The sequence below is a fragment of the Homo sapiens genome, chromosome 5 (assembly GCF_000001405.40).
Source record: "Homo sapiens chromosome 5, GRCh38.p14 Primary Assembly".
NCBI lineage: Eukaryota > Metazoa > Chordata > Mammalia > Primates > Hominidae > Homo > Homo sapiens.
This window is the reverse complement of record NC_000005.10, coordinates 160,400,884-160,419,099: the sequence shown is the minus strand read 5'-3', so window position 1 is coordinate 160,419,099 and position 18,216 is coordinate 160,400,884. Positions and strand designations below refer to the sequence as shown.

The 18,216-nt window shown below is 37.0% G+C and overlaps 1 protein-coding gene across 8 annotated transcripts, besides 2 other annotated features; it reads left to right on the top strand.

Moving 5' to 3' along the window:
* Positions 1-18: 18 nt before the first annotated feature.
* SLU7 (spliceosome associated SLU7) lies at positions 19-17,459 on the top strand. 8 transcript variants are annotated; one of them, NM_001364521.2, is made up of 17 exons: positions 19-77; positions 1,859-1,988; positions 3,792-3,975; positions 4,628-4,781; positions 5,121-5,201; positions 5,480-5,644; positions 6,581-6,649; positions 10,403-10,450; positions 10,640-10,771; positions 11,032-11,129; positions 11,287-11,354; positions 11,485-11,624; positions 12,471-12,632; positions 13,965-14,069; positions 14,220-14,291; positions 14,544-14,660; positions 15,636-17,459. In NM_001364521.2, exons 3-17 carry the CDS (start codon positions 3,806-3,808, stop codon positions 15,813-15,815), a joined length of 1,761 nt encoding a protein of 586 aa, NP_001351450.1. In that variant the 5' UTR covers positions 19-77; positions 1,859-1,988; positions 3,792-3,805; the 3' UTR covers positions 15,816-17,459. The 8 variants fall into 8 exon arrangements, with proteins under 8 accessions (NP_001351450.1, NP_001351449.1, NP_001351452.1 ...); NM_001364520.2 differs by having other exon boundaries at positions 3,790-3,975; NM_001364523.2 differs by lacking the exon at positions 1,859-1,988 and adding an exon at positions 415-504 and having other exon boundaries at positions 3,790-3,975.
* Positions 258-307: an enhancer, noted in NCBI's record as "active region_23560". NCBI's record gives its function as "activates an Ori minimal core promoter by ATAC-STARR-seq in GM12878 lymphoblastoid cells {active_cell/tissue: GM12878}" and the evidence as "EXISTENCE:reporter gene assay evidence [ECO:0000049][PMID:35858748]".
* Positions 14,111-14,311: a silencer, noted in NCBI's record as "peak5561 fragment used in MPRA reporter construct". NCBI's record gives its function as "represses an SCP1 promoter by STARR-seq MPRAs in K562 erythroleukemia cells {active_cell/tissue: K562}" and the evidence as "EXISTENCE:reporter gene assay evidence [ECO:0000049][PMID:32103011]".
* Positions 17,460-18,216: the final 757 nt, after the last annotated feature.

Sequence of the window (18,216 nt, the reverse complement as noted above, 5' to 3'; positions counted from 1 at the left end):
GAAAAGCCGGAAGTAAACATTACGAGATTGGCTTGGATTCTGTCGGATGGACTTGGGGCTAGCTGCGGCGGGGCTGGGTAAGAAAATATTGTTAGAACTTGCGGGCGACGGGGAGTTGGGGAACCTGAGAAAATGAGTCGAAGGCTCCTAATTATTGGATATATCTTCACGGGGGTGATGAGCCCTCAGGTGTTGAGGGAGCGAGGACGGGGGACCGAAAAGCCACTGTCCTGAGACCCATTCATGGCACTCGTGCCCTGCCAGGCCAGGCCTGCGTCTTCAGGGAAACAGTCGGGATAACTATGAGAGTGTCGCCTTTGTGGCGGTGCCTCGAAGACCTTGAGCAATCCCCGGACTGCGAGCAGGGAAAGCTGCTTCCAGTACCCAAATTGACAGACTGTATTTCCTCGCCAGAAAAATTTACTTGAGCTTCAGTTTTTCCTGTTAAGTCGAGATGATCCGACTTCAGTGGGGTATCATGCGGGTATAAATGAAAACATCTATGTAAGTAAAGCGCTAAACAGTGTCTTACGTAAGCCCTCAGTAAGTGGGAGCTATTACTGTTTTTAGTTGGAGAAAATAGGTCCCTCCACAGCGACGGAAACTAGTGCGTACAACTTGGTGACTATAATACTTTATTCAGTTTTAGTTTTTAATATTTTAGGCCCAGAAGCCAATGTTCTGTGGACAAGTATAACATACTGGTTTAGAGAACTGACTTTGGAGTCAGAGTTGTGTTTGAAGTCCTTATTTCTTACTACAATGTGTTCTTGGCTGAGGATCTTACCTCTCAGAACCTGTTTCTTCACTGTAAAATGGTGTTCATCAGACCTATCTACTGGGCTTATTGTGAAGATTAGATGAGGTGATACACGGTAGGCTCGAGAAATGGTAGCTGTTTTAATAAAGATTAAATTTACCGTTGTTGTGCTTCTCTTCGCAGTATATTTAGGCCATCAGTTTATATGTTACACAAATATATGTGGAGGTTTTCTATAGGTCAGACATAGAAGAGAACACCTTTGAGAAGCATCGTAGACCCCCAGGCATTGAGCACTTTCCACTGGGAAAGAGCTTGTGTAAAGGCCCAGTGTCTACAGGGAGCACGGTTTGTTAGAGGAACTAGAGGAACTACAAGAAGGTCTATGTAGTTAGTAGAGAAGGAAGCGGGGATAGTTGTAATGGTGAGGCTGGAAGGTAGGCAGGTGCCAGACCATGGTGGACCGTGTAGGTGTGTTAAAAAGATGTCAGTTTTTAGAGTACGAATGATAAAATCCTTTGGAGCGTCATTTTTTTTTTTTTTTTTTTGAGACGTAGTCTAGCTCTGTCGCCCAGGCTGGAGTGCAGTGACGCAATATCAGCTCACTGCAATATCGGCCTCCTGGGTTCAGGTGATTCTCCTGTCTCAGCCTCCCGAGTAGCTAGGATTACAGGTGCACGCCACCACGCCTGGCTGATTTTTTTGTATATGCTTAGTAGCGACGGGGTTTCGCCAGGTTGGCCAGGCTGGTCTCAAACTCCTTACCTCAGGTGATCCGCCCGCCTCGGCCTCCCAAAGTGCTGGGATTACAGGTGTGAACCATCGCACCCAGGTGTCACTATTCGTTATGATAGTTATTAGCCACTTGTGGTTATTGAGACTGGAAATGTGATTAGTTTAAATAAGTGTAAAACCCATATCAACTTTTAAAGACAGAGTTGTTTTTTTTCTAATTCAAATTTGCAATTATAATATGTTGGATATATTACATTAAATAAAATCTTGTAAAAGTAATTTTACCTGTTTATTTTTACTTTTTTAATGTGACTACTGGAAAACATAAAATTACATGTGGGACTAGCATTGTATTTCTCTTAGATGGTGCTGTATTGAATTTTTGGACGGTACTGCATTGGAGGATTTTAAGCTTGGGCAGTAGGACATTGTATTAATCTGTTTTCACATTGCCAATGAAGACATAGCCCAGACCTGCCAATTTACTAAAGAAGTAAGTTTGTTGGACTTAACAGTTCCACGTGGCTGGGGAGGCCTCACAAACATGGTGAAAGGTACCTCTCACATGGCGGCAACAATAGAGAATGAGAGCCAAGCAAAACGGGTTTCCCTTTATCAAACCATGAGATCTCGTGAAACTTATTCATTACCAGGAGAACAGTATGGGAGAAACTGCCGCCATGATTCAGTGATCTCTCACCCGGTCTCTCCCACAACACTTGGGAATTACAGGAGTACAATTCAAGATGAGATTTGGCTGGGGACACAGAGCCAAACCATGTCAGACATGATATGATCAGATTTGTGTTTTGAAAAATTAACACTGCAATGTGGAGAATTGATTGGAGGGAATCAGAAGAGTCCAGTAAGTAGGAAAAAGTAATAACTTACACTAGGGTGGTAGCAGTAAGAATGGAAAGAAGTAGATGCATTTGAATGATACTCAAAAGGTGAAAATAACTGTTCTTAGTGATGAGATAGATGTAGGGATAAGCTGAAGCACTTAATGTAAAGGGACGGATGGTGTTGTCTTTCATTAAGATAGGGAAGAGTAGGAGATTAGATTTCAGAGGGAAGATCATGAGATTGAATTAAGACGTATTGAGTTTAAATGCCTCTGGCCTCTAAGTGGAGATGTCAAGTAAGCAATTGGATATATGTATCTGAAGCTCAGATAAAAAGTCTTGAATAGAAAAATACGTTGTTCCTTTATTATTTTTTATTTTATAGAAAAATAAGTTGGAGAGCCAGCAGTGTTGTATTGTGACCATTGAAGCCTTGGAAGTAAATGAGCTTATCCATTAGTGGGAGTTTAGAGTGGCTTAAAAGGTGCTGACTGAGCCTTGAGGAATCCAACATTAAATAACTGGGCAAAATTTGATGACAAGAGAGGTACAAGAAAAACCAAGAGGGCCAGGCACAGTGGCTCACGCCTGTAATCCCAGCACTTTGGGAGGCCAAGGTGGGCAGATGGCCTGGGGTCAGGAGTTTGAGAGCAGCCTGGCCAGTGTGGTGAAATCCTGTCACTACAAAAAATACGAAAAAATTAGCCGGGCATGGTGGCGGGCACCTGTAATCGAGCTACTCGGGAGACTGAGGCAGGAGAATCGCTTGAACCTGGGAGGCGGAGGTTGCAGTGAGCTGAGATCATGCCACTGCACTCCAGCCTGGGCAACAGAGCGAGACTCTGTCTCTAAAAAAAAAAGAAAAAGAAAAACCAAGAGAATGTAGTGTCAGGGAAGTCAAGACATAATATATAAAAAGGGAAGGAACAGAGCTGAAAAATGTCCATTGGATTTAGCACAATGGTCCTTGATGACTTAATGATGTAACTCTTTTCTTTAGAATGGTAGGGAATGGAGGGCTAAGTTAGAGTGAGTGAGGATGAAAATAGAAGGTGAGGAAATGGAGGCAGTGAATATAGATAACTCTTGAGATATTCATTCTTGAAGGGGTACAGAGATAGGACCCTCTTTTCTCTCATTAAGAGTTACTGTGTTAGAAAAGTTTGAGACATACACAGAAAGAGGGATTAAGGATGGATATGAGAAAAGAGTCCTGTGAAATTTTAAATACACGTGTGTGTCTCTCTCCATTTGTAAATTGGAGTTGAGAGAGAAACAGTGCTAACAGTATGTAGAGACCTTGAGGAGGGGGAAGAGACCCTTCCTTACACATAATATAGGAGAAAAAAAAACATATGAAACAGTATATATTATTAGGATGTATTTTTGGTAGTTTGAGTGAATTCATGAAGGCCTACTTTTTACTGTAAGTTTCACTTCTTTTCCTAGAGGAGGCCAGATAACCATGTCAGCCACAGTTGTAGATGCAGTTAATGCTGCACCCCTATCGGGGTCCAAAGAAATGAGTTTGGAAGAACCAAAGAAGATGACCAGAGAGGACTGGAGAAAGAAGAAGGAGCTAGAAGAACAGCGAAAATTGGGCAATGCTCCTGCAGAAGTTGATGAAGAAGGAAAGTAAGTACTTAATTTTTTGTATGATCCATTCATTCAGAATTCAAATTCATGTCTACTTAGTTTATTAATTTTTCATCCTTTGAGAGGAACCTCTCTTCATTTATGTCATTTTTGTTTTTTATTTTATCAAACTCATATGCATATGGTTTAATAATGAAATTATGTTGAAGGGCTTATAATGAATAGCAACAGTCCTTTTTTACCGTTCCCACCCCTGGCCTGCTCTACAGAAGTGACTGCTATGAAATCTTTCTATTTTGAGTTTTTCTGGTTGTTACCGTCACATCTCTAGATAATAATACCTACACAATTATTTTAATTAATTGACTATAGACATTATTTGAACCAAAACTTCTTGTGATAGAAGATTTAGATTACTAACACACATCTCTATTTTCCTTCCTCTCTTGTCCCCCTTCAGTTATATCACTATTCTTAGTTTCTTAGTTGGAAATATTTTCACTCTAAAATAAATTACTTCTTTATTTTTAATTATTCTTTATTATAGTATAGAGATAGCAACCTTGTTCTCTTCCCCCTACCACTGCAATATTTCTGTTCTTAGATTTTGTATAAGCTACCTTTGTAATTGTAATACTGATTATTTTCCAATTTTATCCTTAAATTTTTTTTTTTTTTACTTTAATTACAGAGACATCAACCCCCATATTCCTCAGTATATTTCTTCAGTGCCATGGTATATTGATCCTTCAAAAAGACCTACTTTAAAACACCAGAGACCACAACCAGAAAAACAAAAGCAGTTCAGCTCATCTGGAGAATGGTACAAGAGGGGTGTAAAAGAGGTATGTAGGCAACCTGTATACATCTTCATGGATATGGAGAGTTTAAGAACTTAATGTAAGAATTTTTAATGCAATACTATTTAAAGTAGAAACAGATAATAAAACCCTTTATCTGGTATTGAAATTCACAGTGCATTACTATTTTATCTTTGTGTTTCTTATATAAATTTTACACTCCTGAACTCTTTAAAGTTTCACATTTATAAATGTGTGGAGACTCTAACTTATTTTCCTTTTAACAAAGAAATCATTTCCCTAGACAAAATAGTAATGAGAGTCAAAGTTATTTCTAACTTACGTGGTTAAGACATTTTTGTTTTTCTTTATATATATTTATAGAATTCCATAATTACTAAGTACCGCAAAGGAGCATGTGAAAATTGTGGGGCCATGACACACAAAAAGAAAGACTGCTTTGAGGTAAGTTCACCTTTGAAAATTTTGAAAACCGTTGTCAGAGTCTTTCTTTTTTCTTTGTCAGAGAGCTAACTTCTCTTTTTCTGAAATCACCTATATTTAGGTACAAGTTAAATAAAAATTAGTTTCAGTGGAATTGGTTCAACACCAACAAAATTTTCTACTGTAAGACTAACTGTAAATTGAATAGATCGTAAAGTGCCCACTCTGTAAAAGTTGTATGAAGTTTTCCTTTGGGCCATAAAAACTTAGGAAAAGATTAAATCTTACTCTGTTTTTAGAGACCTAGGCGAGTTGGAGCCAAATTTACAGGTACTAATATAGCTCCAGATGAACATGTCCAGCCTCAACTGATGTTTGACTATGATGGGAAGAGGGATCGGTGGAATGGCTACAATCCAGAAGAACACATGAAAATTGTTGAAGAGTATGCCAAAGTTGATTTGGTGAGCAAAATTCCCTGCTTTCCTGGGGTTTTTAAAGAATCGTCCTTTTGCTGTATCTCTAGCAGCTCTACTTTTCAAATCTTGAAGCACTTTAAAAATGGTAGCATTTTTATAATAGTAGTACTACTGTATAGGCTACCTTTATAATTGTAATATTGAGTAAAGGAAATAGTGTGCTAGCCATACTTGCCAGCAGTTTCTTCTTATTTGATTCTTATATTGGTCCTTTACTCCCTGACTTAGGTAGCAAAAGATATTGGAAGCATGAAGACAGATTAGTGTCCAAAGCTTTTGGTTTTGTGAGGTTAGAAATGTATGGCCCCAAGCTATAGCTTGCCCATGAACCTATTTTATAGTTGCCTCCCATAGCATTTGGGAGTAGTAGAAAGGGAATGGATAATTTGTTTCAGAAAATTTTATTTTATTTTAACCCAACTTCAGTTTTTACTGTTATGATTTGACCTATTCACCCTTATTCCTTTGAAGTCATAGTCACACTGCCTTTTTTTTTTAATTAGAGGTATCATTTTAAAATTATAAGATTTCATATAAAAATCTGGATTTCATCTTTTCTTGAATATTGTAATATATGGTAACCCCACGCCTGCCTGGTAAGAGTCAGTCATCTAGAGTTCTGTGGCAACTGCTTGTTTTTGTCAGGGCTTGCTCCCTGCAATTTACTACTGATGCCATTTGGCTCAGTTTACATTAATGCCTGGTTCAAACACTGTGTAACTCCTGCTCTTTATAGAGTAATAGGTCTAGGGCTACAAGGAATCCCAAAGAGATAGGTTTGTTCAGTGACCTTTTCTGAAATAAATTAATTTAAAGTTATTCATTTTAAATATATAAAAATTTAGGTGGTGACTTGAATGTTGTAAGTAAAATTTAAATGTTTACTTTTTCTTTCTTTCTTTCTTTTTTTTTTTTTTAAAGGCAAAACGAACATTGAAAGCCCAGAAACTCCAAGAGGAATTAGCCTCAGGAAAATTAGTGGAACAGGCTGTAAGTAATGAAAATGATCAATAAAAAGGTTTTATTTCTTTTAAACAAAGAAATGAAAATTGAAACAAGAATTCATTTTATAGCTCTTCAGTTAGGAAGAGAGAAATGCTATTGGGGGAAAAATAAAACTGATACTTTGTATACAGTTCATAGTAATATAAATTGATGCAGTCAGTTTGGGAACAATATTGCCACTATTTATATTTAGACACACACAAACATTTACTTTTTCAAGTTAAATTATTAAAGCTATCCATCCTAAAGAATTTTCTAGAGTTTAGAAAAATCATGATGCATAAAGATAGTACAGCATTTTTCACAATAGTAAAGAAATTGGAATAGCTTAAATGTCCAGGAACAGGGAATTGGTTAAGTGCATCTGCATGGTGTAATGCTGTGTAGTTCTTAAAATGGCATTTCTCAAGACTTCATTAACAACACTGGTTAACACTTGTATTTGAATAATACATGAAAAGATAGTATAATATTATCACACAGAAAAAAAGACCAGAACACTAGTTTTTATTTAATGTAGAATTTATGAATTTTTCTTTCTATTTCTTTAGTATTTTCTGCATTTCCCACAATGAATATGTATTAGTTATATAACTGGGCAAAACATTTTTTATATGAATGAAAGGTCTATTGCAGCCAGTTTTTTTTTCTTTTTTAAAAATCCTTGTCAATAGAGTAAATATATTATGCATATTAGAGTTGTCAAGTTTCTTTTTAACAAATCTAGGCACAAATAAATAGTAAACATTTATAGTTTTTTAGTTTAAATTTCTAAAAGGGACTCTAAACCATGTATAAGTAACAAAGCAAACAGAACTTGAAATAATTACCAAGTAAGCAGTTACCGAGTTACTAAGGTAACCTACCAGGCAAGTTAACATTGTAAGTTACCAGATAGGTGTTTAAAATCCATCTCTGGCCGAGCACAATGGCTCACACCTGTAATCCCAGCACTTTGGGAGGCCGAGGCAGGTGGATCATCTGAGGTCAGGAGTTCGAGACTAGCCTGGCTAACATGGTGAAACCTCATCTTTACTAAAAATACAAAAATTAGCTGGGTGTGGTGGCGAGCACCTGTAGTCCCAGCTACTCGGGAGAATCGCTTGAACCCAGGAGGCAGAGGTTGCAGTGAGCCGAGATCACGTCACTGTGCTCTAGCTTGGATGACAGAGCGAGACTCTATCTCAATCAATCAGTCAATCAGTCAATCAATAACAAAATCCATCTCTGCTCCATGAGACATACATGCTCTTAGAAAAGTGAATTTGCCGGCCGGGCGCGGTGGCTGACGCCTATAATCCGAGCACTTTGGGAGGCCAAGGCGGGTGGATCCCAAGGTCAGGAGATCGAGACCATCCTGGCTAACACGGTGAAACCCCGTCTCTACTAAAAAATACAAAAAATTAGCCAGTCGCGGTGGCGGGCGCCTGTAGTCCCAGCTACTCGGGAGGCTGAGGCAGGAGAATGGGTGAACCCAGGAGGCAGAGCTTGCAGTGAGCCAAGATCATGCCGCTGCACTCCAGCCTGGGCGACAGAGTGAGACTCCGTCTCAAAAAAAAAAAAAAGTGAATTTGCCTCTCTGAGCTGCAGTTTAGTATGTCTGAAATAGAAATGATAACACCTACCCCCAGGAAGCTTATATACATATCACATAGTAAACACTGGGTAATTAGTAGCTATTATTGTTGTGATTATTTTTATTTATTACTAACTTTGGGAAAAGAAAAAGGGCCTGTTTCTTTTGTTCTAATGTATTCTCTGTTGTTTGTTGTAAACGTAATGTAATTTATTTCCCCAGTAAGGATACTTAATGTATGTAAGGGGCTAATGATTTTTGCCCACTTGGATGCTTGGATTATTTTTTTTTTATATACTTTAAGTTTTAGGGTACATGTGCACAACGTGCAGGTTTGTTACGTATGTATACATGTGCCATGTTGGTGTGCTGCACCCATGAACTCGTCATTTAGCATTAGGTATATCTCCTAATGCTATCTCTCCCCGCTCCCAGGATGCTTGGATATTAAGATGAACCACATACAGTAGATTTAGAGACTTAGCTGTCACTATAGAAATGTATGTAAATGTCTTTGGTGAACTAGCAAATAGTGGGAACTCAAAAAAATTATTTTTTACAAAATATTTATATTTCTAATTTTGAAAGTAACACATATTAAGTGGAAAAAAATTAGAACATAATATAAAAAAGAAAATATCCCTGTGTTAATTGTGAACATTTTGAAGTAGGCCTTTCCAGGTCTCTCTTGTCCACATATACCTGTTCATGTGTGCTAGAATACAAAATGTTTCTTACATGAATCCATCTTTATATATTCATTTATTACCTTCTTTTTTAATTTAACAACATAGAGTACAGTGGGAACGTGTTTTCTGTCTATATTTATAGACCTATAGCATCATTTATTTTTGTATGAATTCACATGGCTCAAAAATTAAAACAATTTAAGAAGATGCACAGCGAAGTCTCTCCACCCCTGTTTCTATCCACCCTAACACTAAACTTCCCCTCGCCCCAACTCTTTTGTGTATGTGTGTGGCTCCTTTCAGACTGTCTTGAATAAATACAAATACAAATATATACCCTTATCCTATCTGTCTCTCCCCTCCCCTTTTTTTAATCAAAAAAGTTAGGAAACGATACATACTTTTCTGCCCCTTGGATAGAATCACTTTTAATGGCCGTTCAGTGTTCCATGGAGTGCAATACATTATATAACCAGTGATCTATTAATTTGATTTTTTCCCAGTGTTTTGAAAAAACATTGCACATATACAACACTGCACATCACATTCTTATACATCTTTATATAATTGACATGATACTAGGATAACCTTCTAGAAGTGTATTTCAGTGAGTTTGTATTTCTAAAATTTTTATGACATATCACTTAGCCATCATTCAGAAAAGCCATGCAGATTTATGCTTCCATCTATATAGTATATATACATACACGTGTTTCTGCATCTCCTCACTAATGCTATAATGTATTCTCTTTTTTTTTAAGTATTTTTAATCTTTGAAGCCTTTATGAAGGGACATGATGAAATACCACGTTAGTGTAGGCATTCTGTGGAGTTAGAAAGTATTCTGACCAATTGCTAGCGAAGAAAAGTGTATCCTTGTGACAAGGAGTTTGGCCTCTCCTTAAATTACAATACTGTGTCACTTGTAGATTTTTTTCATTGCCCAAACTTCACTTTGGCTGTGAAGACATGAACCCAGTAATATTTTCTTTTTGGACTTACTAGGAAACTAGTAACGTTTAATGAATACAGTATGTCTGAAGACTAACACATTTAGAAATTAATATTTATTGGGTACTTTGGACATCTTAATCTTTCTGTTACCATTTTGTGGTTATAATCTTAATTAAAATTCTCTTGAAATTTGCTGGCTTTATAGACAGTGTAATAAAATTATTTACAATGGCACTCTTGTATTCAGAATTTTTGCGCTCATTATAACTGAGAAGTGTGAGAGTTTGTTCAGTTAGAATTAAGTTTTATTATCTTAATACTTATTTATAAGTTACATATTATATATTATATAATAAATATTTATTATATATAATATAAATATAATATATAATAAAATATATTTTATTATATAAATATATTATTTATAATAAGATAATAATACTTTATTATCTTAATAATAAAGTTAATTGGATTAAGTGGAATGAGATTATGAATGATTTTTCTTCTTTCATGATGCAGAATTCTCCAAAACACCAGTGGGGAGAAGAGGAACCAAATTCTCAGATGGTAATACATATTTGCTGTCTCTGAGTATATGTTAAATTTTTAAATTTCTGATGGCTAATAATAAATAACACTAATAATAGCTTTTAAAGAACACAAGTAAATAAGGGTTTGGTTAAAGGGAAAGGGGAAAAAAAAGAACTACATGCTGCTTTCTTTTCTTCTTACTTTTCCTTCCTCTCCCTCTTTTAGGAAAAAGATCATAATAGTGAAGATGAGGATGAAGATAAATATGCAGATGATATTGACATGCCTGGACAGAATTTTGACTCCAAGAGACGAATTACTGTCCGGAATCTCAGGATTCGAGAAGATATTGCAAAAGTAAGTCTTGTCAGCTTAACATACATATTTGAAAAATACTTGTCTTCCCAGCATAAATTTTATCGACTCTGGGTAGCATATGGATAATATAGTCAGAGTCATTCTAAGATAAGGTTTCATTCTGTTTTTTCTCTTCACCTGAACCCCAGAAATGTATACACACATTTATTTAATTGATCATGTTCAACTCCTCCAACTAGTCTGCTGAAATCTTTTTGCTGTGAGTAAACATTAATTCTTTAAATATTTTTTTCTTCTAGTATTTGAGGAATTTAGATCCAAATTCTGCCTACTATGATCCAAAAACTAGAGCAATGAGAGAGAATCCTTATGCCAATGCAGGAAAGAATCCAGATGAGTAAGTATCAAGTTAAATGTACAGATTTTAAGATGAGAGAAAGTTAATTGTTTTCTGACCTGACCATAGATGGTGTTCATTTTAATTCAGATTCAGTTTTACGAATTAATTTTCCTTAAATCAATCTCTGAAACATTTTCTTTATTTGTATTTACAGAGTGAGTTATGCTGGAGATAACTTTGTTAGGTACACAGGAGATACCATTTCAATGGCTCAGACACAGTGTAAGTGTTTCCTCTATGTCAAGCCATTTTATATCAGCTCATAAGACGTTTGGGATTGTTTAAAGCTTGTTTTCAAGAAGCATACAGTAATGCAGCTGCCAACTCACTAAGATGTTTTGAATTACTCTAGTGTTTGCATGGGAAGCCTATGACAAGGGATCTGAAGTGCATCTACAGGCAGATCCTACAAAGCTAGAGCTGTTGTATAAGTCCTTCAAAGTCAAAAAAGAAGATTTCAAAGAACAGCAGAAAGAAAGCATCCTGGAAAAGGTAATTTTGACCAAAATGCTAAAGAAGAACTTCTGTTAAAGAGAAGTTACTAGTTAATAAGCGTTAGTTTTACATTTGGAAAATAATGCAAAGAGAGCCCTCTTAATCCATGAAGAATAGTCCTTTTCTTCCTTTCTCTTAGTCAGATGGTAATTTTGTATGAGCTTTTGCAGCAAAACAAGCTACCTCAAATCTTAATAGCTTAAAATAAACATTTATTGTTTCTCACAGTTGGCCAAGTCTCCTGGTCTGGGCTTGCTCAGCTGAGGTTAGATGATGAACTAAGATGGCCTCACTCTTGTGTTTAGCAGTTAACAGGCTAATTGTCCTAAGGGGACCTCTTCTGGGACAGCTCATCTCCACCCCATGTGGTCTTTCATCCTCTAGTAGGGTAGCACAGCTTTTTAAAATGGCATTCTCAGAGTTCTAGAGAGTGGCAGCAAAAAGTGTGCTGTGGTACATAAGTGCCTTTGCTTGCATCACATTTGCCAACTTTCATTGGTCAAAGCAAATAACATGGTCAGGCCCAGATTCAAGGGACAGAGAAAGACTTCGTCTCTTGATGGGAAGAAAAGCAAAGCCCTGTGGCAAAAGGGCATGTATAGAAAGATAAGAGGAATTTATGGCCATCTTGTAACTTACTGTACTCAACAGATGAATAGCAACTGAGACATCTTCTATTTGCCTCAGAAAAAATTTGTGGCTTTTTTTTTCCTACTGTGCTTTCTATAACAAAACCCAGTAAAGAATGTTCCCTTTCTTTCTGATTAGAAATAAATGTTTTCTGGAAATTTAAATGCAAATCAGGTTGTAAAATGTATTGAATAATGTCCAATGTCCTTTTAGTATGGTGGCCAAGAACATTTGGATGCCCCTCCAGCTGAATTGCTTTTAGCCCAGACTGAAGACTATGTGGAGTACTCAAGACATGGGACAGTCATCAAAGGACAGGAGCGGGCTGTTGCCTGCTCTAAGTATGAGGAGGATGTGAAGATCCACAATCACACAGTATGTGCTAAACTGGAACAATTTTGTGTCCTTGTTGGTTTTGCTCTGTATTGCATTTTTCCACTACAACTTTATTAGCTAACCATTTGTATTCTCTATGCTTTAAAAAAAAAAAAAAATTTTAACTGTTTCATGGAATTTTTTCAAAAATAGAAAAATTTTGAAGGAATACTATGTTCATCTATATACCCATCATCTAAATTCTGAAATTTTTAACATATTGCCTTATATGCTTTGTCTAGTTGTATGTGTGCATATGCACAGTTTTACATATATATGTAAAATACACATATATACACACATATAGTTTATGTATATATTTATTTGACTGAAACATTTGGAAATTATGTATATCATGACATTTTATCCATAAACGCTGTATCACATATCTCCTTAAAATGAGGATTTTCTTCTATATAACCACATCGACATTATTGCACTTCAGAAAATTAACATTATATCACCTAATATCTAGTCATTAATCACATTTTCCAAAATATACAGAAAAATGCCTTTAACACCTATTTTTTGTTTTAGTCAGAATTCGTTTCAAATTTCTTTTGATCGTTATGCGGTTATTATGTCTCTTTTCTAGAGTGTATCTCTTCATTTTCATGACGGTGACCATTTAACAGATTAGGCCAATTAGTTTGTAAATTGTCTCATATTCTGTATTGACTGGTTCCTAGTAGTGTTATATAACTTGTTTCTCTATCCCTGTATGTTTTATAAATAGGAATTTAGGTCTAACGGCTTGATTGGATATAAGTTAAATATTTTGACAAGAATATTTAATAAGTAATGTAGTATATTCATATTGCATTGTAAACATCATAAAGCATATATTGTCCTTTGCTGTTCTCTTGAAGTAACCAAACTACAATTGTCTCTCTTAGTTGAGGGTCAAAAACCTAACTCCCTATAGGAGCCAGACCAGTGATCATACATGAGTGAAGTGAGCCAGGCAAATTGTACAAACTGGAGAACACAAGCCCTATCTAATGGGGCATCCACTGTTCAGCAACAGCTGATTATTGCCAAGTGGTTATATAGGCCCAGAATTTCCCACTCCTACGTTTTTCAAGAGAAGTCAGATACCCTAAATTTTTTAATAGGCTTTTGGGAATAGAATTTAAGAGTTTTGTAACTACAGGTCCTGCTTCTCACACTTCAGGTCAGACTACCTTCTCCCTGTTAGCCAGCCTTGAATCCCCATAATTTTTCTCCCAAATTACCTTTAATGGGCTGTATTATTTTATACTCTTATCAACAGTATACAGAAGTTTCTAATTTCAGCTTCCTTTTTAAGCTTTTTAATTTCTCTCTCTGCAGCATATCTGGGGATCGTACTGGAAAGAAGGCCGATGGGGATACAAATGCTGTCACTCTTTTTTCAAGTATTCCTATTGTACTGGAGAAGCTGGGAAGGAGATTGTTGTAAGTAATTGTCTTTGGTTCTTAAAGGTATAAAACAACCGAAGCTCCTAAGTCAAACTAAAACATGCTGTCTCATGTTTCAAATTTTAACTTGTTCTTAGATGATTAGTAACTATGACACTCAACTCAAATTACATGTATTTCCCACAGAACTCTGAGGAGTGTATTATAAATGAGATAACTGGGGAAGAATCTGTGAAAAAACCTCAAACCCTCATGGAGGTAAGTTGATAATCATTTGTCCTGAATTTTTAAGTCCTGGAGGGAGGGCTTTAAAACCTGCACCTGAGTTTTTTTTTTTCTTTTGAAACAGAATCTCATTCTGTCGCCCAGGCTCGAGCGCAGTGCACGGTCTGGGCCCACTGCAACTTCCGCCTCCTGGGTTCAAGTGATTCTTGTGCCTCAGCCGCCCAAGTAGTGCACCTGAGCTTTGTTTTCACATTAATAACACTGCATTTCAATCCTCCCTTTCAGCTGCATCAAGAAAAACTGAAAGAGGAAAAGAAGAAGAAGAAAAAGAAAAAGAAGAAGCATCGAAAGAGCAGTTCAGATAGTGATGATGAAGAAAAGAAGCATGAAAAATTGAAAAAGGTAATTTGTGAAGTCTAAATAGTAAAAGTGACAAGTAGCAGTATTCTTTGTTTTTTGGGTTGTTTTTATTTTTTTGAGACAGGGTCTTGCTCTGTTGTCCAGGCTGGAGTGCAGTGGCACGACCGCAGCTCACTGCAAGCTCCACCTCATAGGCTCAAGCAATTCTTCTGCCTCAGTGTCCCAAGTAGCCGGTATTACAGGCACATGCCCCCATGTGCAGCTAATTTCTGTATTTTTTTATAGAGCCAGGATTTCACCATGTTGCCCAGTCTGGTCTCAAACTTCTGAGCTCAGGTGAACTGCCCACCTCATCCTCCCAAAGTGCTGGGATTGCAGGCATGAGCCACCGTTCTTGCCAGTATTATTTGTCAAGGCCTTTATTTGTAATGGCCTGTGATCTAGTCCTGTCTCCAAATGCATTTTTACAATGATGAAACAAGCCTAGAGTCTGAGTGATTTGCTCAAGTTATATTAATGGAGATATTGTGAGGTGTAGGTATTGCCTTCTTCTTGGAGTATTTAGTAATTATGACTAATGGACAGAAGAAATGTGCATTCTAAAGCATTTTAGAGTTATTGGCATGTTGACCGGAAAGAATTGCCTTCTAGCTCCGTAGTTTGTAAGTTTTGGCAAGTCCTTGAGAAAAGTCAGAATTGTAGTCTCTACCAGAAGCATCATTTGTGAGCTTGTATAAGTAAAGTGAACCTCATTTAATTTTTGTTATTAAATAAAATTTCTTCAACATTGATTTAAAATGTTATAGAATGTTTTGTGCTGTATAAAAATATCATATAAGCCAAATAGTGATTAGTTGTAGCTTGACAGTAGAAGGGCTGACTCCAAAGCTCTTTCAGGCAATCTGCGTTTTTGATAGAGCAGTTCATATTCAGTGGGGTGTGTTGGTACTCTGCCACTTTTGAAGAAAAGACATCTGATGTAGAGCTGTGATACACATTTTATTCCTCTCACTATAGGCACTGAACGCAGAGGAGGCCCGCCTTCTTCATGTCAAGGAGACCATGCAGATTGATGAGAGGAAGCGGCCTTACAATAGCATGTATGAAACTCGAGAACCTACTGAAGAGGAAATGGAGGCATATAGAATGAAACGTCAGAGGCCAGATGACCCCATGGCCTCTTTCCTTGGACAGTAGCAACTAGTCAGAAGACCATCCAAGATAGATGCAGCTGATACATTCTTTTCAGCTTCTTATTGATGATTGTAGATAGAAAAATCCTTGTTTATTCTTCTTGCTGCCTGGCTTTAATAAATATTTCAGATGCCTCACAGTAAGTTCACTCCTTTCCATACTGAGGAAACAAGAAAAGAAGAAGAGGCACATGAAGTGTGCTTTTGGGAATAGAATTTAAAATTGGATTAAGATTTTATTTCCAGTTTTTTTTATTTATTTATTTTTTTTTTTGAGACGGAGTCTTGCTCTGTCGCCCAGGCTGAAGTGCGGTGGCGCGATCTCGGCTCACTGCAAGCTCCACCTCCCAGGTTCACGCCATTCTCCTGCCTCAGCCTCCCTAGTAGTTGGGACTACAGGCGCCCGCCACCATGCTCAGCTAATTTTTTGTATTTTTAGTAGAGACGGTTTCATCGTGTTAGCCAGGATGGTCTCGATCTCCTGACCTTGTGATCCACCCGCCTCAGCCTCCCAAAGTGCTGAGATTACAGGCGTGAGCCACCGCGCCTGGCCTATTTCCAGTTTTATGTGAGTCATGTAAAAAAGCCTTGGCTCTCTACCTATTAAGAATGTCTCTTTCTCTGTATTTATTAAGCTTCAAACTTTATTGCTTCGATTTTTGTGGCCCTATATTTAGTATTAGCACACCTTGGTTTTGAGAAAAAAACAGGGCTTTGTTTTTTTAAATAATTACTAGCAACTCTGTGACTACATTTATTTTTATTTTTTTTAGAGACAGGATCTTGCTATGTTGCCCAGGCTAGAGAGCAGTGGCTTTTCACAGACAAAGTCATAATGCCCTGCAGTCTTGGGCTCAAGCGATTCTCTCTTCCTTGGCCTCTGGAGTAGACTAAATGTGTTAGTCTTTGAATGGAAAACAACTATTTTCTCATCATTGGGTCAATATTGACTGATCAGTAGTAGGTCTTTTACCATTCTGGACATAAGTCTAGGTGTAGAAATCCTTTCCTTTATCATAGAGGATATGGTTTACATTACCGTTTGTTTTCATTGTGATTGCCCCTATGTAACAATCATGAATATTAGATTTTTTAAATTGTAGAATATCCTAATATTTATAGCCAGCAGCTGTTACTTTGTTTGTAAAATTTGCAAAAAAACAAAACCTGAAGTTGGTTTATTGAAAGAATTATAAGGATAGCTTCTAGGGATATTAGTAATAGATTGCCATGATCCTGAAGCCTCTTCTCAGAACACTGTGAAGATAATACTGACAGTAGAATCAGTGAAAACAGCCTAACAAAACCTCTGACATCAGTATATCAACTTTTAACAGCCCACTCACTGGCTTTTCTAAACTACCAAAAACCACCTGTAGGATACTGCATTAAGTCAGCATCTCAGAAACAGTGGTGTGAGTAACTGAGTCAAATTGTCAAGTACTTTGGATATACATAGTGTCGAGCTTTAGATTGGTATGAAATTAAACAGCAATGCAAATAGATTTAATTCCTATTTACTTTAAGAATGAAAAACAATGTTCATTTTCCTACCTAAACAGGGTGGTTCAACATAAAGGCTGATGTTGTGTCCGTTTTGTATTTTATCTTTTGTTAAAGATACATAAATGACAATACTTAACTGTGAGTGGTTTGTAGCATTATTTCTAATATTTGGCAGAAAAGTTGTTTATGGGACAGGGAGGGGAACCTGGATTAGCTTCTGTGAGTTTAAGAAAATTTCAGCATCTTGTCACCTAACCTTTCTGGACCTCTTTCCCTCTTCTATGAGGCCTGGTTTACTTAGATTTAGGAAGAATTCTGTAATATCCAGAATCATGTCTTCTGTTTTATTTTGGAAAAGTAATGCCTAGCCAGCCTGGCCAACATAGCAGAGCCCTGTCTCTATGAAAAATACGAAAATTAGCTGGGCATGGTGGCACACGCCTATAATCCCAGCTACTCAGGAGGCTGAGGCATGAGAATTGCTTGAACCCGGTTCAAGAAGTTACAGTGAGCTGAGATTGCGCCACTGCTCTCCAGCCTGGGCAACAGAATGAGACCCTGTCTCAAAAAAAAAAAAAAAAAAAAAAGAAAAAAACATAATGCCTAGGACATTACTCAGATTGAGCTTTGATTTTATTATCTCAATAATAGCTGCCTTTTGAGTGCGAGAATTATGTACTGTAATTGTCATAATGTTATCTCCTTCCTCAAAAGAATTTCATGGGGTAATGGATGATATGTAAGTTTTACAAAAAGCACATGGAATTAACTCCAAGTAACCTGCACAAATCCTAACCGTTGGAGTCAGGACATGAAGCTAGCTGTGGGATTCTGAAGCCTACCCCTTTCTCTAGTATTGAAGGCCCTAATTTCTTGACCAACAAGGCTGGTCTTTAGCA